General features: G+C 44.7%; 1 protein-coding gene across 4 annotated transcripts, besides 7 other annotated features; it reads left to right on the top strand.

Moving 5' to 3' along the window:
* Positions 6,388-7,203: an enhancer, noted in NCBI's record as "NANOG-H3K27ac-H3K4me1 hESC enhancer chr22:29204163-29204978 (GRCh37/hg19 assembly coordinates)". NCBI's record gives its function as "activates a minimal SCP1, AML or CMV promoter by ChIP-STARR-seq in primed H9 embryonic stem cells {active_cell/tissue: H9 hESC(primed)}" and the evidence as "EXISTENCE:reporter gene assay evidence [ECO:0000049][PMID:30033119]".
* Positions 7,204-8,019: an enhancer, noted in NCBI's record as "NANOG-H3K27ac-H3K4me1 hESC enhancer chr22:29203347-29204162 (GRCh37/hg19 assembly coordinates)". NCBI's record gives its function as "activates a minimal SCP1, AML or CMV promoter by ChIP-STARR-seq in primed H9 embryonic stem cells {active_cell/tissue: H9 hESC(primed)}" and the evidence as "EXISTENCE:reporter gene assay evidence [ECO:0000049][PMID:30033119]".
* Positions 12,894-13,747: an enhancer, noted in NCBI's record as "H3K27ac-H3K4me1 hESC enhancer chr22:29197619-29198472 (GRCh37/hg19 assembly coordinates)". NCBI's record gives its function as "activates a minimal SCP1, AML or CMV promoter by ChIP-STARR-seq in primed H9 embryonic stem cells {active_cell/tissue: H9 hESC(primed)}" and the evidence as "EXISTENCE:reporter gene assay evidence [ECO:0000049][PMID:30033119]".
* Positions 13,748-14,601: an enhancer, noted in NCBI's record as "H3K27ac-H3K4me1 hESC enhancer chr22:29196765-29197618 (GRCh37/hg19 assembly coordinates)". NCBI's record gives its function as "activates a minimal SCP1, AML or CMV promoter by ChIP-STARR-seq in naive H9 embryonic stem cells {active_cell/tissue: H9 hESC(naive)}" and the evidence as "EXISTENCE:reporter gene assay evidence [ECO:0000049][PMID:30033119]".
* Positions 13,748-14,633: a biological region, named in NCBI's record as "H3K27ac-H3K4me1 hESC enhancer GRCh37_chr22:29196765-29197618".
* Positions 14,424-14,633: an enhancer, noted in NCBI's record as "active region_18808". NCBI's record gives its function as "activates an Ori minimal core promoter by ATAC-STARR-seq in GM12878 lymphoblastoid cells {active_cell/tissue: GM12878}" and the evidence as "EXISTENCE:reporter gene assay evidence [ECO:0000049][PMID:35858748]".
* Positions 14,684-15,263: a silencer, noted in NCBI's record as "silent region_13581". NCBI's record gives its function as "represses an Ori minimal core promoter by ATAC-STARR-seq in GM12878 lymphoblastoid cells {active_cell/tissue: GM12878}" and the evidence as "EXISTENCE:reporter gene assay evidence [ECO:0000049][PMID:35858748]".
* XBP1 (X-box binding protein 1) lies at positions 14,809-20,818 on the top strand. 4 transcript variants are annotated; one of them, NM_001079539.2, is made up of 6 exons: positions 14,809-15,080; positions 16,225-16,321; positions 18,173-18,301; positions 19,186-19,224; positions 19,251-19,331; positions 19,646-20,818. In NM_001079539.2, the coding sequence occupies exons 1-6, from the start codon at positions 14,854-14,856 to the stop codon at positions 20,201-20,203; spliced, it is 1,131 nt and encodes a 376-aa protein (NP_001073007.1). In that variant the 5' UTR covers positions 14,809-14,853; the 3' UTR covers positions 20,204-20,818. The 4 variants fall into 4 exon arrangements, with proteins under 4 accessions (NP_001073007.1, NP_005071.2, NP_001380928.1 ...); NM_001393999.1 differs by lacking the exon at positions 14,809-15,080 and adding an exon at positions 15,301-15,418; NM_005080.4 differs by having other exon boundaries at positions 19,186-19,331.

The raw sequence follows: 24,527 nt of genomic DNA, 5'->3' as shown, positions 1-24,527 counted from the left end.
CTGAGGGGGCCATTGGTGGGCAGGCAGACCTCAGAAACAGTTGGTTGCAGTTGCTATCACTTTCCTTTAGATATCTAGGCAGTATTTCCTAGAGTGAAGTCAGAGTGGCTCAGGCTAAGATGGGCTGCCTTTGTTTTGGAGCCCGGAACTATACATTCAACAAGCTCCTTCCTGTGTGCCAGGCACTCTGCTAGGTCGTCTTCACGCACATTCCCACATTTTCTGGTAGAAACACACAACAGCAATGAAGGAAAAAAAAGGAAGCTCTCAAAGAAGTTAATGCTTTGTTCCAGGTTATCTAGCAGAATCGAGAGCTAACCCACAACTTACATCTCAAGTTTGGTAGTTAATCTCATAATTTTTTAAAAATGAAAACAGCCAGGATTTATGCAGTTCCAAGAGCCAGCCGGGTAAAATATAGACCCAACTCTGTTTTGGTGAATGGAGGGGAGATGAGAAGAGAAAAACCTCCCAGAACAAAGGAGGAGGTATAATTATGTTTGCCTCAGAGAAAACTGGGAGAGAAACCATTCATCTTCCATTCATTCATCTTCCGTTCCCAGATCTTGGAAGAATAGTCACTGTAATGTGGGGGCTAGAAGCATTGGCTTATGAAGTGGACAGGCAAAGGTAGGTTTTCAGCTCCACCACATCCTAGCTAGGTAAACTTGGACAAGTTGCTTAAACTCTCCACTACTCCAAGAGGTTACAGATCACTGAAAGTACAGACATTGGCAAGTATTTTTTGGAAACACATTATGGGTCCTAAGGACTATAATATAGTCTATAAATCTGGAATTTTATGCTGGAAAATACAACTTGTTTTCAAATGGAAAATGATTGTGTTTTGTATAAAACAACAGAGTCACATTTTAAGACCAGGCTGGATAACATAACAAGACCCCTTCTCTACAAAAAATAATAAAAATAAGCCAGTTATAAAGAGAGCTGAATAATAACAAAAGAAAAAAGAAAAAAATTAGCTAGGTGTGGTGGTGTGTTTGGGAGGCTGAGGCAGGAGGATCACTAGGGATCAGGAAATCATGACCAGCCTGGGCAACATAGCAAGACTCCCATCTCTACCAAAAAAAAAAAAATTGTTTTTAATTAGCTGGGCATGGCAGTGTGCTTGGAAGGCTGTGGTGGGAGGATCACTTGAGCCCAGGAGTTTGAGGTTATGGTGAACTATGATTGCAGCATTGCACTCCAGTCCAGGCAACAGAGCAAGACAGTGTCTCTGAAAATAAAAATAAAACAGCAGAGTCACATTTTCAAATTGTAGATGCCAACCTCTTCTTTCCCAGGCCTGACTGCCTCACACACTTTGTTTAGTATAGAGCACTTCCCCATAAGCCACCAAGCCCCAGTTATGGCGTAATTCAAACCCTGCCCCTAGAATTTCATGTAGGAGGGTCACAGGTCTGTGTGCTCAGCAAATGTTTGCTGTCCTCTGCTGGGAATTTTGTTCCAGGTCACACTAACAGGGCAGATACTTGGCAGCCTGTGACCAGGTCCAGCCCACTCATTGGTCAGATGGAAATTTTCTTTCCAGTTTGGAGGAGGGAGCAACTGGAGAAAGCTTATCCAAGGTTCATCGCTGTGACATTTTTCCTGCTTTGTGGACCCCATTTCTGCTTGTGACCAGTGATCAAATTTTATACATACTTAGACATATTTTGAAGACATGAGTACCCTACTGTTTCACGTAGACCTCTGGGAACTGTCAAACTTCTTTCCTACCAAATTCCTTTTTTCTTTTTTTTTTAGACAGAGTCTCACTCACTCTGTTACCCAGGCTGGAATGCAGTGGTGCGATCTCAGCTCACTGCAAACTCTGCCTCCTCAGGTTCAAATGATTCTCCTAACTCAGTCTCCCGAATAGCTGGGATTACAGGTGCACGACACCATGCCCAGCTAATTTTTGTATTTTTAGTAGAGACGGGGTTTCACCATGTTGGCCAGGATGGTCTCCAACTCCTGACCTCAAGTAATTCACCCGCCTCAGCCTCCCAAAGTGCTGGGATTACAGGCGTGAGCCACTGCGCCCAGCCCTTGGCTACCAAATATCTAAAGATAGAAGAAAGGATGAGATTAATGATAGACTAAGAAGAGTTTGGGAATGCCTGTTGGTAATTAGGGTGGACTGTCTTTGGAAATAATAATAGGTAACAAATATGTGTTTTCTCTATGTCATGTGCTGTGTTAAATACAGGATCTTATTCAAAGCTCAGCCCTCATTTTGGAGACAAGGAAACTGAGGCTCAAAGAGGTTAAGCAACTTGTCCAAGGTTACCTAGCTAGGTGGTGGAGCTGAAAACCTACTTATGCCTGTCTATTTCATAAGCCAATGCTTCTAGCCCCCATGTTACAGTGACTACTCTTCCAAGGTCTGGGAATGGAAGACGAATGAATGGAAGATGAATGGTTTCTCTCCCGGTTTTCTCTGAGGCAAACATAATTATACTTCTTCCTCTGTTCCTGGAGGTTTTTTCTTCTCATATCACCTTTATTCAACAAAACAGAATGGGTCTATATTTTATCCAGCTGGCTCTTGGAACCACATAAATCCTGGTTGTTTTCATGGAAAAAAAAAAAAGAAAGAACAGAAAAAGTACAGCTTGCTATCTTATCCCACATGAATATCAGATGTGCAAAGTCAGCTATAAATAAGAGGATATTTTGGCCAGGCACATTGGCTCACGCCTGTAATCCCAGTGCTTAGGGAGGCCTAGGCGGGCTGATCACTTAAGGTCAGGAGTTCAAGATCAGCCTGGCCAACATAGCGAAACCCCGTCTCTACTAAAAATACTAAAAAAAAAAAAAAAATTAGCCGGGCATGGTGGCAGGTGCCTGTAGTCTCAGCTACTCAGGAGGCTGACCCAGGAGAATCACTTGAACCCAGGAGGCAGAGGTTGTGGTGAGCTGAGATTGCGCTACTGCACTCCTGCCTGGGTGATAGAGTGAGACTTTGTCTCAAAACAAAACAACAAAACAAAAACAGGATATTTTTTAAAATGCTGAGAGTCCCTAATTCATTCTCAGGAAATTCAGTCTCCTACAAGCCAGATCATGCACAAATTCTCAGCATCACCTAAAGCCTAAGCCACCTCACCAAAGGGGGAGGGAGGGATCAGTTGTTACCATTTTGCAGTCAAAGCCCCAGGGTGTGTGTCTGAGAAGACTGAACTTGAGTAAATTAAGCTCTTCAGATAAATACGGTTTGCTGAAATTAAACATGAAACATTCTGCAAAAGTAGGTGTACTATCCGGAAGCCAAGTAATTAACATCAATGCAGGACCCCGGAACAGAAAAAGGTCATTAAAGGAAAAACTGGTGAAATCCAAATAAAGACTAGAGTTTAGTTCCTAGCAATGTGTCAGTGTTGGTTTCTCAGTTTTGACAAATGTGCCACAGTGGTGTAAGCTGTTAACATTAGGGGAAACCGGAACCGGGTGAGGGCGTGCCTGAGAATTATCTGTGCTAGCTTTGAAACATTTCTGTACATTTGGCTGAGCTCATGCCTATAATCCCAGCACTTTGGGAGGCCGAGGCGGGTGGATCACATGAGGTCAGGAGTTCAAGACCAGCCTGGCCAACATGGTGAACCCTCATCTCTACTAGGAGGTTGCAGTGAGCTGGGATTGTGCCACTGCACTCCAGCCTGGGTGACAGAGCAAGACTGCGTCTCAAAAGAAAAGAAATTTTTCTGTACATTTAAATTATGCCAAAATAAAAAGTTTAAAATTTCAGTACCAATGAACTGGTTTTCTTTCTTATAGGAATACTGAAGGGGGCTTGTAACACTTAAACTTCTTTCTCTGGAGACAGGGTCTCACTCTGTTGCCCAGGTTGGAATGCAGTGGCATGATCACAGCTCACTGCAGCCTCGACTTCCTGGACTCAGGTGTTTCTCCCACCTCAGCCTCCTGAGAAACTGGGACTACCAGTGCACGCCACCATGGCTGGCTAATTTTTTGTATTTTTTGTAGAGATGGGGTCTCACCATGTTGCCCAGGCTGGTCTTGAGCTCCTGAGTTCAAGGGATCCGCCCACCTCAACCTCCCAAAGCGCTGGGATTACAGGCATGACCCACCGCATCCGGCTAAGCTTCTCTCAAACAAGATAAAGCTTGCTTCTCTTGCTACCTTTGAACCTCAGCATAAAGAATAGTTACCAACAATGGAGAGTTTGTGCTTTCTTTTAAAAAAAAAAAGCAAAACCAGATGCAGAGCCAGGTCAGTGCCAAGTGAAAAAGAGCCATGCGATATCTTCGCATTTTTTGAATGAATCTTTTCCTTTTGTTGTCATGCCCTTTTAGTGTCATTTTTAATTGACTGGGCAAATGAACTGCAGCATTTTGTAGATGCCAAAGAGGTACTGAATTTCTTAGAACCCAAGTGCACACAAGTGAACTTCAGGAAGTTTTGCAACTTTTTTTCCAGAAAGTGGTGGGCAGCCACAGGACCGAAGGAAACACCCGTCAACATAACCAAGAGGATTTCCTGCCCACACACTCAGCGTCTCAACGTTATTTGAACGGTTTGTAGATGTCTTTCTTTAGAAATATACTAATAAAATTGGAAATACGGGATCAGTAGTCCTAGCAAACCAAAATGACTTCATCCATTTCTGGAGAATAATGAAGTCCTATGCATTCAAGTTGTTTTCTTTTTTCTTCTTTCTTTCTTTTTTTTTTTAAGACCTTTTCTTGGTTATGACAAATGTAACACAATAATTTTTTTTTTTTTGAGATGGAGTCTTGCTCTGTCGCCCAGGCTGGAGTGCAGTGGCACGATCTCAGCTCATTGCAACCTCCGCCTCCCAGGTTCAAGTGATTCTTCTGCCTCAGCCTCCCGAGTACCTGGGACTACAGGCGCTCGCCACCAAGCCCAGCTAATTTTTGCATTTTTAGTAGAGACAGGGTTTCACCATATTGGCCAGGCTGGTCTCGAACTCCTGACCTCGTGATCCACCCACTTTGGCTTCCCAAAATGCAGGGATTACAGGTGTGAGCCACCGCGCCTGGCTGTAACACAATAATTTAAGATGACAACATTCGAGGAAGTTAGAACTGAGAAGAGGGTACACAGCATTTTCTGCGAGATTGACTCAACTTTGATTCCATCAAGGAAACAAAAATATTGTATAGAAATTTACTCTTCATTCTCTCCCAAAACATTTAAGAGTTTTTCATTTTTCTTTGTAAGAATATAAAAGGTTTTCCTAAACTCTTTGCATTCTTTTCCTTTTTCTTCTTCTTTTTTTTTTTTTTTTTTTTTGAGACAGGGTCTCTCTCTGTCACCCAAGCTGGAGTGCAGTGGCACTACCACTACCATGCCTCACTGCAGCCTGGACCTCCTGGGCTCAAGTGATCCTTCCACCTCAGCCTTCCAAGTAGCTGGGACTGCAGGCATGCACCATGACTCCCGGCTAATTTTTGTATTTTTTGTAGAGACAGCGTCCCACTTCGTTGCCCAAGCTGGTCCAGAACTCCTGGAATATGCCCGCCTCGGATTTCCAAAGTGCTGGGATTATAGGCGTGAGCCACCTGCACCCGGCCTCTTTTTCCATTAATTGGTATGTTTAAAACAATGAGCAACATACCTTCCTTGCTAGAATCTGCCTCTTGACTCTAGCATTGGAATCTATAAAATACAATGCCAAGCAAAGGCATAGGACACGAGTCCTTTACAATGAGTGTTGAAATCATGGCATCAGGGACCCAGAATTCCTGAATTATATTCCTATTCTTTGCCCAAGCCATTTTTATTTTATTTTATTTTACTTTATTTAGAGATGGGGTCTCGCTCTATAGCCCAGGCTGGAGTGCAGTGGCATGATCATAGCTCACTGCAGCCATGAACTCCTGGGCTCAAGCTCAAGCAATCCTCCTGCCTCAGCCTCCCAGGTAGCTAGGACTACAGGCACAAGCCACCACACCTGGCTTCCCGAACAATTTTAAAATTCATTTAGTCAATAAACAGGGAGATGCAGAAATGAGTCAAAGAGCCTTCAAGGACCATACAGTGTAATCTGGAGATACAGACAGGTAACAGTGCTGCAGCTGTTATGTTGGAAGTTTGTGGGGGACATGTGGGAACAAAGCAGGTATAGATTGGAGTGGTGTTTGACCTGACTTGAGAGTAGTGATCTCAGTGGGGGAGATCTTGGCCCCCAGGGGACATTCTGCAATGTCCAAAGACAATTTTGGTTGTCACAACTTGGAGGAGGGGAGGGGTGCCACTGGCATCTGGTGGGCAGAGGCCAGGGATACTGTTAAACATCCTATAAGGGACAGAGCTGCCCCTCACCACAAAGAATTGTCCAGCCCCACATGTCAATAACACTGAGGTTGAGAAACTGTAGTTTAAACAAACAGAAGAAATGGGGTTTACCAGGCAAACTAAACAGAGAAGAATAATTCAGGGAAGTGGTAAGACAGGAGTGAGGGATGGACAGATAAGCTGGAGATGTAATCTGTATGCTTAAGCTGATTATTTTTTCCCTTTGAACCTTAATTTTCCCATTCACAAAATAGTGATGCTATAATGTGGAATGACTCACCTCTTTTCCTGGTATCAGAAGAAAGTGCCACTGATAAAAATTGTGTGCCTGGGTCCCACCTACTTCTAATTGTCCTGCTCAAGCCTACCTGTTCCTCAGCAGTGCTGGTAGCTTATTGATGAGAACAAAGACGGTACTTGGGAAATCTAAGGAAGGGCAATGTGGCAGGTAAAATTGTCAGTAAGCCGGGCGTGGTGGCTCACGCCTGTAATCCCAGCACTGTGGGAGGCCGAGGCAGGCTGATCACCTGAGGTTGAGACTTCGAGACCAGCCTGACAAACATGGAGAAACCTCGTCTCTACTAAAAATACAAAATTAGCCGGGCACGGTGGCGCATGCCTGTAGTCCCAGCTACTCGGGAGGCTGAGGCAGGAGAATGGCGTGAACCCAGGAGGCGGAGCTTCCAGTGAGCCGAGATTGCGCCACTGCACTCCAGCCTGGGCGACAGAGCAAGACTCGGTCTCAAAAAAAAAAAAAAAATTGTCAGTAAAAGCGAGGACTGTATTTAATGGCATGTAACAAGAACCCAGCTACCACAGGAATTATAATTCTTATGTAATGTGACATCTGGAAATGGGCAGTCTAGAGCTAAATGGCCACTCCATGGTGCCATCAGGAGCCCAGACTCCTTCTGTCTTTCCCCTCTGACGTCCTTAGCATGTGACTCCAATCCGCATATTTGTGAGATGGCGGCTGAACCTCTCAATCTTTGGAAGTTTCATCAGCATTCCAGGCAAGGAAGAGGGGAAAAAAGGAAAAGAGCAACAGGCAAAAGGTGAAAGCCTTCCCAGTTGAGTCTCCTCCACTTAACAAACTTTCCTGGAATCGTCTGTGCCCAGAACTTCCACGTATGTATACATTGGCCTGAACCACATTATGTAACTATCCATAAACTCCAGGGAGTCTGGAAGCTGAGTGTTTTCAAGTGGGCATCTTGAACAAAATAGTTTTTTTTAATAAGGAAGAAAAAGTATAATAGGTGCCGTGTAGGTAACTAGAACTGTTGCCTTAGTGCTTTAAAATGAGTACATTCAGGGCCAGGAGCGGTGGCTCACGCCTGTAATTCCAGCACTTTGGGAGGCCGAGGGGGGTGGATCACCTGAGGTTGGGAGTTCAAGACCAGCCTCACCCACATGGAGAAACCCCGTCTCTACTAAAAATACAAAATTAGCTGGGCATGGTGGCACATGCCTGTAATTCCAGCTACTTGGGAGGCTGAGGCAGGAGAATCGCTTGAACCCAGGAGGCAGAGGTTGGGGTGAGCTGAGATGGCGCCATTGCACTCCAGCCTGGGCAACAAGAGTGAGACTCCGTCTCAAAAAAAGAAAAAAAAAATGAGTTCATTCAGCTGGGAGCGGTAGCTCATGCCTGTAATTCCAGCACTTTGGGAGGGTGAGGCGGGTAGATCACCTGAGGTCAGGAATTCGAGACCAGCCTGGCCAATGTAACAAAACCCCGTCTCTACTAAAAATACAAACAAACAAAAGAAATTAGCCAGGCATGATGGTGCATGCCTGTAATCCCAGCTACTTAGGAGGCTGAGACGGGAGAATCATTTGAACCCGGGAGGCGAAAGCTCCAGTGAGCCGACATCATGCCACTGCACTTCAGCCTGAGTGACAGAGTAAGACCCTGTCTCAAAATATAATAAAATAAAATAAAGCATATTGCAGATAATGTAACCATTCAATAGTCATTCGAAAATATTTATTGAATGCCAAGTATGTACTCAGCACTATCGTAAGCACAGAACACACAAAAAATGGAACCACGAATAACCCTAGCTTCTGCGTCTAATGAGCTTGTTGAAATCCAGTTGGGAAAAACATACAACATAAACAATAAGAAGTTGGACAACCATGAAAGAGTTAAATAACAATCTATAATAGCAATATAAAAAAGCAGTACATCACTGGTGGGAATGTAAAATGGTATAACCTATAGCCACTTTGGAAAGCTGCTAAGTTTCTAAAAAATTTAAACATAGTATTTACCATATGATACTGCAATTCCACTTATAGGTATTTACCTAAGAGAAATGAAAATATAAAGATTTCGCCAGGTCCCGTGGCTCACGCCTATAATCCCAACGCTTTGGGAGCCCAACTTAGGTGGATTACCTGAGGTCAGGAGTTCCAGACCAGGCTGGCCAACATGGTGAAACTCTGTCTCTACTAAAAATACAAAAATCAACCAGGCTTGGTGGCTTGTACCCGTAATCCCAGCTACTCGGGAAGCTGAGGCAGGAGAATCAAGAGTCGGAGGTTGCAGTAAGACAGTGAGCTGAGATCGTGCCACTGCACTCCAGCCTGGGCAACAAAGCGAGATTCCATCTCAAAAAGAAAAAAAAAAGTGAGAATGTTTCTTAATTGAAAAAACATAGGCCTGTCTGGGCACAGTGGCTCACACCTGTAATCCCAACACTTTGGGAGGCCGAGGCGGGCGGATCACAAGGTCAGGAGTTCTATACCAGCCTGTCCAACATGGTGAAACCGTCTCTACTAAAAAAACAAAAATTAGATGGGTATGGTGGCAGGCGCCTGTAATCCCAGGTACTCGGGAGGCTGAGGCAGGAGAATTGCTTGAACCCAGGAGGCGGAGTTTGCAGTGAGCCGAGATCGCGCCACTGCACTCCAGCCTGGGTGACAGAGGGAGACTCTGTCTCGAAAAAAAGAAAAAACATAAGTCCTTGGTTGGGAGGAAAGTTGTACTGTTCAAATTTTTTCTGTCTGCTCCCTCTGTTGATTCTGAGAATTGTATTTATCTCCCATTGTGATTTGTGGATCATTTTCATCATTTCAGTCTTTGTTTTATACATTTCTTTTCTTTTCTTTTTTTGAGACAGAGTTTCACTCTTGTTGCCCAGGTTGGAGTGCAATGGTGCGATCTCGGCTCACTGCAACCTCCCCTTCCCGGGTTCAAGTGATTCTCCTGCCTCAGCCTCCTGAGTAGCTGGGATTACAGGCGCCCACCACCACGCCCAGCTAATTTTTGTTATTTTTAGTAGAGATAGCTGTTGGGAGCAAGCCCCCCAAAGTCTGGTCATAAACTGGCCCCAAAACTGGCCATAAATAAAATCTCTGCAGCAATGTAACATGTCCATAATGGCTATAACGCCCAAGCTGGAAGGCTGTGGGTTTACGGAAATGAGGGCAAGGAACACCTGGCCTGCCCAGGGCGGAAAACTGCTTAAAGGCATTCTTAAGCCACAAACAATAGCATAAGCAATTCATGCCTTAAGAGCATGCTCCCGCTGCAGTTAACTAGCCCAACCTATTTCTTTAATTCAGCCCATCCCTTCGTTTCCCTTAAGGGATACTTTTAGTTAATTTAATATCTATAGAAACAATGCTAATGACTGGTTTGCTGTTAATAAATATGTGGGTAAATCTCTGTTCAGGGTTCTCAGCTCTGAAGGTTGTAAGATCCCTGATTTCCCACTTCACACCTCTATATTTCCTTTTTTTTTTTTTTTTTTTTTGAGACAGAGTCTCACTCTCGCCCAGGCTGGAGTGCAGTGGCACGATCTCTGCTCACTGCAAGCTCCGCCTCCCGGGTTCACGCCATTCTCCCGCCTCAGCCTTCCGAGTAGCTGGGACTACAGGCGCCCGCCACTACGCCCGGCTAATTTTTTGTATTTTTAGTAGAGACGGGGTTTCACCGTGTTAGCCAGGATGGTCTTGATCTCCTGACTTCGTGATCCGCCTGCCTCGGCCTCCGAAAGTGCTGGGATTACAAGCGTGAGCCACCGCGCCCGGCCTCACACCTCTATATTTCTGTGTGTGTGTCTTTAATTCCTCTAGCACTGCTGGGTTAGGGTCTCCCTGACCGAGCTGGTCTCGGCAGATAAGGTTTCACCATGTTGGCCAGGCTGGTCTCAAACTCCTGACTTCAGGGGATCCCCGCCCCAGCCTCCCAAAGAGCTGGGATTACGGGCATGAGTCACCGTGCCCAGCCAATTTTCTTTTGTTTTTTCTTTTGAGACAGGATCTCACTCTGTCACCCAGGCTTGAATGCAGTGGTACCATCTCGGCTCACTGCAGCCTCAATCTTCTGGGCTCAAATGATCCTCCCACCTTAGCCTCCCGAGCAGCTGGGGCTACAAGTGCACACTACCAAGCCCAGCTAATTTTTTTTTTTTTTTTTTTTTTTTGAGACAGAGTCTTGCTGTGTCCCTCACCCAGGTTGGAGAGCAGTGGTTCGATCTTGGCTCACTACAACCTCTGCCTCCCGTGTTCAAGCAATTCTCGTGCCTCAGCCTCCTCAGTAGCTGGGATTACAGGCACGTGCCACCATGCCCAGTTAATTTTTGTATTTTTAATAGAGACGGGGTTTCGCCATGTTGACCAGGCTGGTCTTGAACCCCTGACCTCAGCCTCCCAAAGTGCTGAGATTACAGGTGTGAGCCGACATGCTAGGCCTATACATTTCAAAATTATGTTGCTATGTTCATAAAGATGTATATATGGTAACTTGTACCTTCAATCAACATGAAATACCCTTCTTTGTCCTTTTAATGCCTTTATGATAAATTCTGTCTCATATTAATATTGCTACATATGCTTTCTTTCCATAAACATTTCCATAAACATAAAAATGGCTGGTAAGTCATTTTCCTTTTTTTTAAAAAAATTTTTGTTTTTTAGAGGCAGGAGCTCATTCTGTCTCCCAGGTTGGAGTACAATGGTTCAATCATAGCTCATAGTTTACTGCAGCCTCGAACTCCTGGGTTCAAGGGATCTTACCACCTCCGTCTTCCGAGCAGCTGGGACTACAGGTGCAAGTCACCACGCCTGGTTAATTTTTTTAAATTTTTTGTAGAGACAAGGTCACAATATGTTTCCCAGCCTGGTCTTGAACTCCTGGCCTCAAGCAATCCTCCTGCCTTGAGAAATATAGTAAACAAAAAATGTGAAATAACATGGCAGAAATAAGTCCAAATAAATAAATAATCAAAAATAAATACAAATGATTTATATTCTCTTCTTAAAAGAGAGCTCTGAGAAACCCCAAAGCCAGCTATATGTTGTTTATAAAGAGACATACATAAAACAAAACAGCATGATTAAGAAGATAATATAACCCATTCACATTTATGTTTTATTATTTATATATTTGGACTTATTCCTGCCATGTTATTTTCTGTTTTCTGCTTACCAGTGTACAGTATTTTTCTGTTTTCCCTTTTCTGGAATGCCTATTTATTTCTGTTCCTGTTTTGTCCACCCTTTCCTGACTGATTCTTTCTGAATAATGACTTTTTTTTTTTTTTTTTTTTTTTTTGAGAAAGTCTCACTCTGTTGACCAGGCTGGAGTGCAATGGCACAATCTTGGCTAATTGCAACCTCTGCCTCCCAGGTTCAAGACATTATCCTGCCTCAGCCTCCCCAGTAGCTGAGATTACAGGCGCCCCCCACCATGTCCGGCTAATTTTTGTATTTTTAGTAGAGACTGGGTTTCACCATGTTGGCCAGGCTGGTCTCGAACTCCTGATCTCAGGTGATCTGCCCACCTCGGCCTCCCAAAGTGCTGGGATTACAGGGGTGAGCCACCGCGTTTGGCCTCAAAGACCGAGAACTTTGTAATTTATATATTTTATAGCTCTTATCACAGGTGTCTAGTAAATATTTTTAAACACTTATGGCACCTGATGCAAGAATTACCAGGTTCATTTTATAGAGAGGATATGAAACTGTCCAAGGGTTTGGACTCACATGTTCAAGACTGCATGGACAGCAATCTGTAGTGGGTCAAATTATTGTTTTTAGTATGATTTAAAGTGTTTGTCAAAAATATAAAAGTTTTGAAAACAAGCTGGGGAAGTGAATTTCAATATCGCATTAACTAAGATCAAAGTGCAATTCATCAACCTTTTTTCCCCATCCCGCACCCTGTGCTTTCTCTACTCAGTTACTCACTACACCCTGCTGGACTAAAAGGGTCCTCCAGCATTTTCTTTCTTACACAGTGAAAGACATTCTCTTGGCATTAATAAATGTTCACTTAATAAATAAAAAGGGCCGGGCTCTGTGGTTCCTGCCTGCAATCCCAGCAGTTTGGGAGGCCAAGGCAAGAGGATCGCTTGAGCCTAGGAGTTCCAGCCTAGGCAACGTGGCGAAACCCAGTCTCAAAAAAAAAAAAAAGGAAAAAAAAGGCATCAAAAAATAAAACGTAACAGGTGGCATGACATGACATGACTTTTCTAACAGCCTCTTACAGCTTTCCAAGGTCTTTTAATATGAAGCTATAGGTCTCGGCTAGAAGACACCTCCAGACTTCTCCCAAAACATTTCAGAGGCCCGGAGTAAGTCTCCCCACATCTGAAGGCACATCAGAACCCAGGTGGCCCAAGCTGATGAGAGTTAAACAGGAAGTTGGTTTCTTGGTCCGGCAGAGACTCCAATCACCCCCACCTCTTTTCCAACCCACAGGACAGCACGTGCTCAGGAGGCTCTGGAGTTGGGACAGCCCAGTTAAAAAAAAAAAAATCATTGATTTCCCTCCCAACGAAGAGGGAGAAAACACGTTAGGAGACTCGTGGCCCAGTCCTGGCAAAAACCAAAACTATGTCCCTTTAGAGGGCTTAGATATCAAGAGATGGACTTGCTTTTAGTTCTTTTTCCCATCCTGTTCCCTCCCTACCAAAATAAAATTGACCAGCTAATCCGACTTAATAACACTAAAGAATTACTTAGGAACCTGCTATCTTAACATTTCACTTTTTGCATATCCTCCAAATACCAGGTAGCAGTCTTACTACTGTTTGCACCCCTAGAACCTGGAATAGTGCTGCCCGCAGAGGAGGAAGCAATAATTACTTGTTAGAGAAGGTATTGCTGTGCATTTCTGGGGAATTTCACATTTTGTAATTTGCTTTAAAAAAAGTGGACAGGCATATTTACGGGGGTTTCTCGGACTTCTCCATGTTAATATTCGTGTGTATAAATCGCTCCCGTGCTGCTCTCTGGGGGCCCCTCTTTCACAAACACCTGGCCACCCTCACGCCACAATGGCCAGGCAGGAACCTCGACCTCCCCTCGGAGAGGGGGCTCAGGGTCAACCCCGGGGTCTCAGTCTCTACATGTGACGTTTTCCTGTCCCCTCATTTAAAATAACAAGAGGCTGGGCGCAGTGGCTTACGCCTGTAATCCCAGCACTTTGGGAGGCCGAGGCGGGCGATCACGAGGTCAGGAGATGGAGACCATCCTGGCCAACACGGTGAAACCCCGCCTCTACTAAACTACAAAAAATTAGCCGGGTGTGGTGGCGGGCGCCTGTAGTCCCAGCTACTCGGGAGGCTGAGGCAGGAGAATTGCTTGAACCCGGAGGCGAAGGTTGCAGTGAGCTGAGATCTCGCCACTGCACTCCAGCCTGGTGACAGAGCCTGACTCCGTCTCAAAAAATAAGAAAAAAAAATAAAATAAAAATAATAGAGGCCGAAGCGGGAGGTTCACTTGAGCTCAGAAGTTCGAGATCAGCCTGGGCAACACAGTGAGACCTCGTTTCTATTTAAAAAATAAAATAAAACTAAATTTAAAAAAATGCACGCTCATAGTACAAACTTTAGAAATGGAACGAAAAACTAAAATTGAAGGTATTCCCCTCCAACCCAGAGATAACACCTATCGTTTATTAAGCCCTCACTATTGTTAAACTTAGTTTTAAAGGGCACGATCTCATTTCTTAAAGACTTCTATTCCGCAGAATTTCTTTCCAGGCTTTTTTCTTTTTCTTTTTTTGAGACGGAGTCTCGCTCTGTCGCCCAGGCCGGGGTGCAGTGGCGCGATCTCGGCTCACTGAAACCTCTGTCCAGTCTTTTCGAACCCAAGGCCCAACTGCGCTCTATCTCGACTTTCGGCTCCACTCGGATCCCGAAGTGGCGCACGAGATAAAATGTTGTCAGGCTGAGGTAATTCTCTGTTAGTCCCGGTAAAAATTCGTCAGTCTGGAAAGCTCTCGGTTTGGAATTAAATTCTGTCACTCCGGATGGAAATAAGTCCGCTTAAGGGGGGAAAATCCGTTTGTGGAGGACACGCTCCCGCACGTAACCCCCCGCGGAAAATGACCCCAAGTACCTTTGGCCAGGGATTGCCGCTGCCACGCCGGACTCCATAGCCACGGTCCTGAAACGCCCCGCCGGGCAGGCCGGACCAATGGACGCCGAGCTCGGCCGTGCGTCACGCGACGCTGGCCAATCGCGGAGGGCCACGACCGTAGAAAGGCCGGGCGCGGCGAGGCTGGGCGCTGGGCGGCTGCGGCGCGCGGTGCGCGGTGCGTAGTCTGGAGCTATGGTGGTGGTGGCAGCCGCGCCGAACCCGGCCGACGGGACCCCTAAAGTTCTGCTTCTGTCGGGGCAGCCCGCCTCCGCCGCCGGAGCCCCGGCCGGCCAGGCCCTGCCGCTCATGGTGCCAGCCCAGAGAGGGGCCAGCCCGGAGGCAGCGAGCGGGGGGCTGCCCCAGGCGCGCAAGCGACAGCGCCTCACGCACCTGAGCCCCGAGGAGAAGGCGCTGAGGAGGTGGGCGAGGGGCCGGGGTCTGGGGCCAGATCTGAAGCCGGGACTAGGGACAGGGGCAGGGGCAGGGGCTGGGAGCGGGGACCCAGCACTGGCCGCCCCGCAGGGCTCCGTCGCCTTTGGCCTGGCGGGTCGGTGCCAGCGTGGCGCGGGGCGGGGCAGGAAGCCCGGACTGACCGGATCCGCCACGCTGGGAACCTAGGGCGGCCCAGGGCTCTTTTCTGTACTTTTTAACTCTCTCGTTAGAGATGACCAGAGCTGGGGATGCGGGCACCTGTCTTCCAGGCCCTCTTGCTGTGTGGCCGCAGACTGGTGGTTCAGCCTCTTAACTCGGACATGAGGTCGAATAATCTGTTTTGGTTTACTGCTATTTCTGGAGAGGCGCGGAGCTGAAATAACAGAGCTGTTGAAAGGGCTGGGAATTCTGCGAGGCTCACTGGTCTAGCTCAGTATCTGCGTTCTTAAAATGGAACCTACTTCATGAGGTCTTTGGGGAGATTGAGACTTGGATATAATGTGCCTAGCACTTAGTCCTCCGTAAATGTTCACTCTTTTGTGATCATTGTGCCTTCTGTGATTTATGAAGTGTCTCTTCTGAGTTAATTCTTTTAAAAAAAAAAGTGTCTCCTCCAACAGACACGGACCCATCAGCAGGTCACTGCCTAGGATCTCAACACTAGAGATCAGGGAGTGGCATCAGCCTCTCCCTTTTCTAAATTGGACTGGGGGACGGAGGGTTGATGTCATAGCAAGATTGCAGCCTTCACTAGATTAATGAGGCCAGGTTGGATCCTGTTTAAGAGAACTGGAGACAGGAAGCAGCGGGGGAATAGATGGGGAAAGAGGAAAGTTCCTTATGATGCAAGATGAATAGTGTGTGTGTCCAGCCCCAGTGCTGTGACGGGGATGAGTCTGAGGTGGACGGATGATGCAATATAGGAGAGAATAAAGCAGGTCTTCGAGCTAGATTGACAGAAGACTGTATTTTTTATTTTGTTTTATTGAGGGGAGGAGCCTGAAGTGTATTTTATCATTAGTCTGTCTTATACTGTAAATAAAAATGAAAGCACCAGCTGGTAAAGTTTTCAAATAAAGACATAAATAAGGTTTGATATGACTCAGTGTGGTATGTTCCTTCTCTTCCTAGGAAACTGAAAAACAGAGTAGCAGCTCAGACTGCCAGAGATCGAAAGAAGGCTCGAATGAGTGAGCTGGAACAGCAAGTGGTAGATTTAGAAGAAGAGGTAAAACTACTTAAGGTCAAACTCTTTTATCCATTGTATACCCTTCCTTGGTGAATGTTCTGATATTTGCTTCCCATCCCAAGTTGTTTCAGCCCCTATTAGAATACAATTGAATATATGATTAAAAGTTAAACTAGGCTGGGCATGGTGGCTCATGCCTGTAATCCCAGCACTTTGGGAGCCTGAGTTGGGCAGATCACTTGAAGCCAGCAGTTTGAGACCAGCCTAGCCAACATGGTAAAATCCCGTCTCTACCCAAAAATATACCAAAAAAAAAAAAAAAAAAAAGGCCAAGCGTGAGTGCCTGTAGTCCCAGCTACTCGGGAGGTTGAGGTGGGAGGATTGTTTGAACCTGGGAGAGGGAGGTTGCAGTGAGCTGAGATCGCACCACTGCACTCCAGCCTGGGCAACAGAGTGAGACTCTGTCTCAAGAAAAAAAAAAAAAGTTTGCTGGGCACCGGGGCTCACACCTGTAATCCCAGCACTTTGGGAGGCCAAGGTGGGTAGATAACTTGAGATCAGGAGTTCGAGACCAGCCTGACCAACGTGGTGAAACCCCATCTCTATTAAAAATACAAAAATTAGCCGGGTGTCGTGGCAGGCACCTGTAATCCCAGCTGCTCCGGAGGCTGACGCAGGAGAATCACTTGAACCCAGGAGGCGGAGGTTGCAGTGAGCTGAGATCACGAGATCATGCCACTGCACTCCAGTCTGGGCGACAGAGCAAAAACCCTGTCTCAAAAAAAAAAAAAAAGTTAATCTAAGTTAGGACAGAGAGTTGGTGAAGTGGTGAAGCTTGTTGAGGGCAGAAGTGATTGACTTTGTGGCATTTGGTGCTAGATGTATCTCAAAGTAGATGGATTTAACAATGTTTATTGAGTTTGTAGTAAGAAATTAGCAAGGGCTAATAGGAAATAATTGCTTAAACTTTACATTCTTCCTGGCATGGCCAGAAATTCACTAAAGGTTCCTTTCCCCCTCTAGGGTCCACCTGTTAATCAATCTTAAATTGTTGCCAATTACACATCTTGAATACATAGAGATTATTTATATTGTTTTTTTAACCCCTTGGTCAATTTGCATATATTGAGCTTTTTAAAGTTTTAATCATTAGTTGGTTCTTCTAAGAATCATGAGTCAGGAGCAGGGATTTTTTTTAACTTATTTTGGATTTATAGTCACCACTACCACTTTTATTATTACCTGCCAGTTCAAGATAGTTATTTATTTTTATTTTATATTATTATTATTATTATTATCATCATCATTATTTTGAGATGGAGTCTCACTCTGTTGCCCAGGCTGGAGTGCAGTGGTGCAATCTCGGCTCACTGCAACCTCTGCCTCCCAGGTTCAAGCAATTCTCCCTGCTTCAGCCTCCAGATTAGCTGGGATTACAGGCACCCCTCACCACATCCAGCTAATTTTTGGATTTTTTAGTAGAGATGGGGGTTTGCCATGTTGGCCAGGCTGGTTTTGAACTCTTGACCTCAGGTGATCCACCTGCCTTGGCCTCCCAAAGTGTTAGGATTACAAGTGTGAGCCACCGAGCCTGGCCAAGATAGTTTAAAAAAAAAATTATATCTACATTAAAGCCACAAGTCACCCTTTGCTGAAGTCAGTATTAGTAGTTGGAAGCAGTGTGTTATTCTTGACCCCATGAAGTGGCACTTATTAAGTAGCTTGCTTTTCCATAATTATGGCCTAGCTTTTTAAAACCTACTATGAACACCACAAGCATAGAGTTTTCCAAAAGTTCAAGAAGGAAAGGAAACCAATTATACTGAATCAGGTAGATTCTTAACTGAAATAATTAGATGTTTTAATAGCCTCTTATGAACTTTCTTCCAGAACCAAAAACTTTTGCTAGAAAATCAGCTTTTACGAGAGAAAACTCATGGCCTTGTAGTTGAGAACCAGGAGTTAAGACAGCGCTTGGGGATGGATGCCCTGGTTGCTGAAGAGGAGGCGGAAGCCAAGGTAAATCATCTCCTTTATTTGGTGCCTCATGTGAGTACTGGTTCCAAGTGACATGACCCAGCGATTATGTTTACAGTCTGGACTTCTGATCAAGAGCGTTCTTGAAATTTTCCTTCAGTTTTAAGACATTTTCATGCAGGCAGAGTGTTCTTCCCCTAAAGGCACTTGACACTCATTTTTTAAGTGTGTAGTGAACAGTACTAAGATCTAATAATGAAAACAAGTTACATGGCTCCCTAAGAACAAGTACTAACAAATGCAGTAGCCAACAAGATTACCATGCAATCATTAAGGAGAACCAAAGTAAGAGAGCCACTCAAACCAGATTTTGAACGCTACTAAAATTAAAGTAGTTCTTTGATGAATATGAATGAGTAGGGAAAGGATTCTTTGTAATAGTGATACCTCTGTGGTAAGAGAAGGGTGGTATGTGAGTTTTAGTCTACAGATTATGGCAAATTCAGTGACAACAATCAAATGGTCTAAGATTGACAGTAGCACAGTTTTACTCTGTGAAGGTAATGTTCAGGACAAATTTCAAGAAAACTAGAAAACCATTCTTTACAGCTGAAATCTTTCCCTAACCATTGTTATTTCCACTTTTAAGTCCTCAAGAGATGAGAAAAGGGAGGTAAGGCTTCCTTATACATTTCCTGCACAATGAAACATTTTTCCTCCTCCAGGCAAAGATTCAAGCAGAACTGGCAAATATCTTATCTTGCTCTTCTCAATAATAATAATGTTGTTAGATAATAAAGTTCTATAGCAATTTAACCCTAGAATCTTTTTGAAAAGTAATTCTTTAAAGTTGAGAATCACAGCTGTCTAGCAAGCATTTCCTTGGGCACTTGAAGCTGTTTATTCACTTTGGTCTTTCCTCCCAGGGGAATGAAGTGAGGCCAGTGGCCGGGTCTGCTGAGTCCGCAGCACTCAGACTACGTGCACCTCTGCAGCAGGTGCAGGCCCAGTTGTCACCCCTCCAGAACATCTCCCCATGGATTCTGGCGGTATTGACTCTTCAGATTCAGAGGTAGGGATCATTCTGACTTATTAAAGAGCTATATAACCAGTTAATTCCATCTGTTTGATGCTTGACATCCCTAACTAGACAGATGAGGGTTGAAGTTAGTTTTTGGTGGGGTTGGAGGTGAACATCAACTACCTTCCTAGTTCCAGGTAATATAGAACATGGAGTGAAGTGTAGATAAATGGGTCTGGTGGGTCCCGAGGTCATCTTATCACATAATGACTAATTTACATTATGGAACCCAGTACAAAGTGTTCCAGTTAGATTTTCCATTGTATTCTGACAGTTGTACTTCATTTAATTTTTGCCTCTTACAGTCTGATATCCTGTTGGGCATTCTGGACAACTTGGACCCAGTCATGTTCTTCAAATGCCCTTCCCCAGAGCCTGCCAGCCTGGAGGAGCTCCCAGAGGTCTACCCAGAAGGACCCAGTTCCTTACCAGCCTCCCTTTCTCTGTCAGTGGGGACGTCATCAGCCAAGCTGGAAGCCATTAATGAACTAATTCGTTTTGACCACATATATACCAAGCCCCTAGTCTTAGAGATACCCTCTGAGACAGAGAGCCAAGCTAATGTGGTAGTGAAAATCGAGGAAGCACCTCTCAGCCCCTCAGAGAATGATCACCCTGAATTCATTGTCTCAGTGAAGGAAGAACCTGTAGAAGATGACCTCGTTCCGGAGCTGGGTATCTCAAATCTGCTTTCATCCAGCCACTGCCCAAAGCCATCTTCCTGCCTACTGGATGCTTACAGTGACTGTGGATACGGGGGTTCCCTTTCCCCATTCAGTGACATGTCCTCTCTGCTTGGTGTAAACCATTCTTGGGAGGACACTTTTGCCAATGAACTCTTTCCCCAGCTGATTAGTGTCTAAGGAATGATCCAATACTGTTGCCCTTTTCCTTGACTATTACACTGCCTGGAGGATAGCAGAGAAGCCTGTCTGTACTTCATTCAAAAAGCCAAAATAGAGAGTATACAGTCCTAGAGAATTCCTCTATTTGTTCAGATCTCATAGATGACCCCCAGGTATTGTCTTTTGACATCCAGCAGTCCAAGGTATTGAGACATATTACTGGAAGTAAGAAATATTACTATAATTGAGAACTACAGCTTTTAAGATTGTACTTTTATCTTAAAAGGGTGGTAGTTTTCCCTAAAATACTTATTATGTAAGGGTCATTAGACAAATGTCTTGAAGTAGACATGGAATTTATGAATGGTTCTTTATCATTTCTCTTCCCCCTTTTTGGCATCCTGGCTTGCCTCCAGTTTTAGGTCCTTTAGTTTGCTTCTGTAAGCAACGGGAACACCTGCTGAGGGGGCTCTTTCCCTCATGTATACTTCAAGTAAGATCAAGAATCTTTTGTGAAATTATAGAAATTTACTATGTAAATGCTTGATGGAATTTTTTCCTGCTAGTGTAGCTTCTGAAAGGTGCTTTCTCCATTTATTTAAAACTACCCATGCAATTAAAAGGTACAATGCAGCATCCTTGTTTGATTTCTTCTAGGGCCGTAAGTCTTGTTTTCTCTCCAGATGTTTATCTGTGTGCTGTGGTAGGAATTAATCCAACTGAAGTGAGCCTAACGCTTTTTAAAGTGACTGAAGGCTTTTCCACCTTAATTACTGCCTGCTTTAATTCTGGACTGCCATAAGTGATATAAGCTATAATTTGAGCAGTTACTGTCTTTCTGAGACAGATTCTTGAGCCTAACTGACCAATATCACAGCTAGTAAGTGGAAGAGCTAGAACCCTAACCACTATTTGCTACACCATCTTATAAATGTTAAACAAGGACACACCATCACATATCGAGATTCTCTTGCCCTTATTATGGGAATTAAGAGCATTTTCTAGACTGAAACTCCCTATTTTCAACTCTGCCACTGGTAAGCTGGGTAACCCAGGGGTTATATATAATCACTTATTTCCTCATCTGTAAAGTTGGATAATGGTATCTCTAAAGGTTAAGATTCAAAGAGACGATGCATTATAAGCATTTAGTATATGCTAGGCACCATCCTAAACACTGGAAAGTTAGTTAGTTATTATCTCCTAATCCACTTTGGAAGGGTTTTAATCTCTTCCAGAATTATATTTACTCAAGAATTTGTTTCATCAAAGAATAAACCTCGGCCAGGCGCGGTGGCTCATGCCTGTAATCCCAGCACTTTGGGAGGCTGAGGCGGGTGGATCACGAGGTCAGGAGATCGAGACCATCCTGCCTAACATGGGGAAACCCTGTCTCTACTAAAATTACAAAAAATTAGCCAGGCGTGGTGGTGGGCGCCTGTAATCCCAGCTACTTGGGAGGCTGAGGCAGGAGAATGGCGTGAACCCGGGAGGCGGAGCTTGCGGTGAGGGGAGATCGCGCCACTGCACTCCAGCCTGGGCAACAGAGCGAGACTCTGTCTCAAAAAATAAATAAATAAATAAATAAATAAATAAATAAACCTCTTCAAGAAAAAATCCTAGTGATATTAATACAACTCCCAAAGACTTGATAACCTCCTCATCCTTCATAGCATCTTTTCCTTGGAAATCTTACAAGGTTTTACAGGACTTTACTTATTTATAAAAATTTCACCTATGCCAGTAGATGAAATCATTCTATGCCAATTTAGCATTTAAATGCTATGTTCCCAACTTACAAAGACTAACTCTGGGGAGGTCAAAGTGAATGAGTAGAAAAAAGGCAGGATTCAGAGAATCCCAAGCAGCAAGGCAAAGTGGATTATAGAATACCTTTGGTGTAGGCCAGGTGTAGTGGCTCACGCTTGTAATCCCAACACTTTGGGAGGCTGAGGTGGGCGGATCACCTGAGGTCAGGAGTTCATGGCCAGCCTGACCAACATAGTGAAACCCCATCTCTAGTAAAAATACAAAATTAGCTGGGTGTGGTGGCGCATATGCCTGTAATCCCAGCTACTCAGGAGGCTGAGGCGGCAGAATCACTTGAACCCGGGAGGCAGAGGATGCAGCGAGCCGAGATCGTGCCATTGCACTCCAGCCTGGGCAACAAGAGCGAAACTCCATTTAAAAAAGAAAAAAAAAAATAGAATGCCTTTCATGTAGTGACTGGAGGCAAGTCAGCTAGCTGCCTTCAAGATCCGGTCGTTGAAGCCAGGGCCCAATCCTGGTGCTCAGCAATACAAACTTGCTTAGGCTCTTAAGTTTCTTCAGAAACAGGCCAGGCATGGTGGCTCACACCTATAATCCCAGCACTTTGGGAGGCCGAGGCCAGCAGATTGCTTGGTTCAAGACTAGCCTGGACAACATGGCAAACCCGTCTCTCCATGAAAAGTAAAAAAAAATAGCCAGGCATGGTGGTGTGCACTGGTGGTCACAGCCACTCAGGAAGCTGAGGTGGGAGGATCGCTTGAGGCCAGGGGGCAGAGGTTGCAGTCAGCCAAGATCGCAGCACTGCACTCCAGACTGGGTGAAAAAGCAAGACTGCCTAAAAAAAAAAAGGTTCTGTATATAAGAACAGCCTCCAGCTGACCCCATGATTGAAAACTTTATCTCACCTGATTTTCTATAACTCTGCAAACCTTAGGGCCAAGAACCTATTTAGGAATTGTATAGGCAGATGTAATTACAGATGTACTTTATCCTCTATCATTATAGCACAAGCATCTGGAGGTTGAGGCTCAAGTTATTTATATTCAATGATACCACATGAAAGAGGCAGCTGTACTAACAGGACAGGACATATATAACCTGTGTAAATTATCAGGGTTTTCATTTCCTGCACAGATGGGTGGAAATTACTAAACAGCCTTGAGAAAACACCTGGTATTCATGGACATTTTCATACTGAAACACCAAATTGAATGGTTAGAACCAAAAATCAAGATATTCCCACAAAACCAAAGCCAGAGTTCCATTAAATGCAGAGGGTTGTCTCAGATTGAAGAGGCAAGTGGTAAGATGCCTGCATGCCATTTCCCTAGGCCCTGTCACACCAATCTATTTCTCTTTTTTTTTTTTTTTAAAAAAGACTGAGTTTCGCTCTGTCGCCCAGGCTGGGGTGCAGTGGCATGATCTTGGCTCACTGCAACCTCCACCTCCTGGGTTCAAGCAATTCTGCCTCAACCTCTTGAGTAGCTGGGATTATAGGCACATGCCACCACACCCAGCTAATCTTTGTATTTTTAGTAGAAATAGGGTTTCACCACGTTGGCCTGGCTGGACTCAAACTCCTGACCTCAAGTGATCCACCCACCTCAGCCTCACAAAATGCTGGGATTACAGGCGTGAGCCACTGCACCTGGCCCCCTCCTTGCTTTTCTACTAGATATGTTATTGGAGCAGAGAGAAAGTAGGGACAGAACTGTAGGCAGAAGGTAATACTGCTTACTCCAGGCACACTTTAAAATAATCAGTCACGTTCCAGTCTCCTAAGAATTCAATTCTCTTATGACATAAAGTTCATTAAGAAACAGGAAGACTGGGCCAGGCACGGTGCTTCACGTCTATAATCCCAGCACTTTGAGAGGCTGAGGTGGGAGGATGGCTTGAGCCCAGTTCGAGACCGGCTGGGCAACAAAGCAAGACCCCATCTCTAAAAAATAAATACATTAAAAAAAAAAAAGCAATAGGAAGACTGGCTTGTTTACCCAACCAACCAGTTGTTGAAGGAAAACATCAGTCTTTTTTGAGGCAGGGTCTCACTGGCACTCAAGCTGAGCTGCAATGGCGCAATCATGGCTCACTGCAGCCTCTAACTCCTGGACTCAGGCCATCCTCCCCCCTCAGCCTCCTGAGTAGCTGGGAACAGCCACCACACCTAATTTTTAAATTTCTTATAGAGACAGAGTCCCACTGTGTTGTCCAGGCTGGTCTCAAACGTGTGGACTCAAGCAATTTTCCGACCTCAGCCTCCCAAAATGCTGGGATTATAAGCATGAGCCACTGCACCCAACCAAACATCATTGTCTTGCTGGAGCTATAATCCAAACACTGTTCTAATTACAACTACTTCATCTCTAAGATGCTACTGGTAGTCTGAGGAACTAGGGAATTAACACAGCTATAGGATTTGTACCAAACTGATACATACTAAACCATGTTTCCTCAAGGAGTTTAATGTTAGACTGCTTGAACTATATTATCAGTTATTTCAACAAAATCTAAATGACATCTTAGATCGGCAAAGACTCTAAAACCAACTGGTCAAGTGGAAAGAACACTG

Source organism: Homo sapiens, chromosome 22 (genome assembly GCF_000001405.40).
Source record: "Homo sapiens chromosome 22, GRCh38.p14 Primary Assembly".
NCBI lineage: Eukaryota > Metazoa > Chordata > Mammalia > Primates > Hominidae > Homo > Homo sapiens.
The sequence above is the reverse complement of the archived record's forward strand: the minus strand, read 5'-3'. Positions and strand labels throughout refer to the sequence as shown.

Excerpts from the sequence above, each read along its gene's own strand:
- XBP1 (NM_001079539.2), top strand. The coding sequence starts at position 14,854 with ATGGTGGTGGTGGCAGCCGCGCCGAACCCGGCCGACGGGACCCCTAAA. Across the intron at positions 15,081-16,224 it reads GAGGAGAAGGCGCTGAGGAG|GAAACTGAAAAACAGAGTAG; the intron begins GTGGGCGAGGGG and ends TTCTCTTCCTAG. Across the intron at positions 18,302-19,185 it reads AAGAGGAGGCGGAAGCCAAG|GGGAATGAAGTGAGGCCAGT; the intron begins GTAAATCATCTC and ends CTTTCCTCCCAG.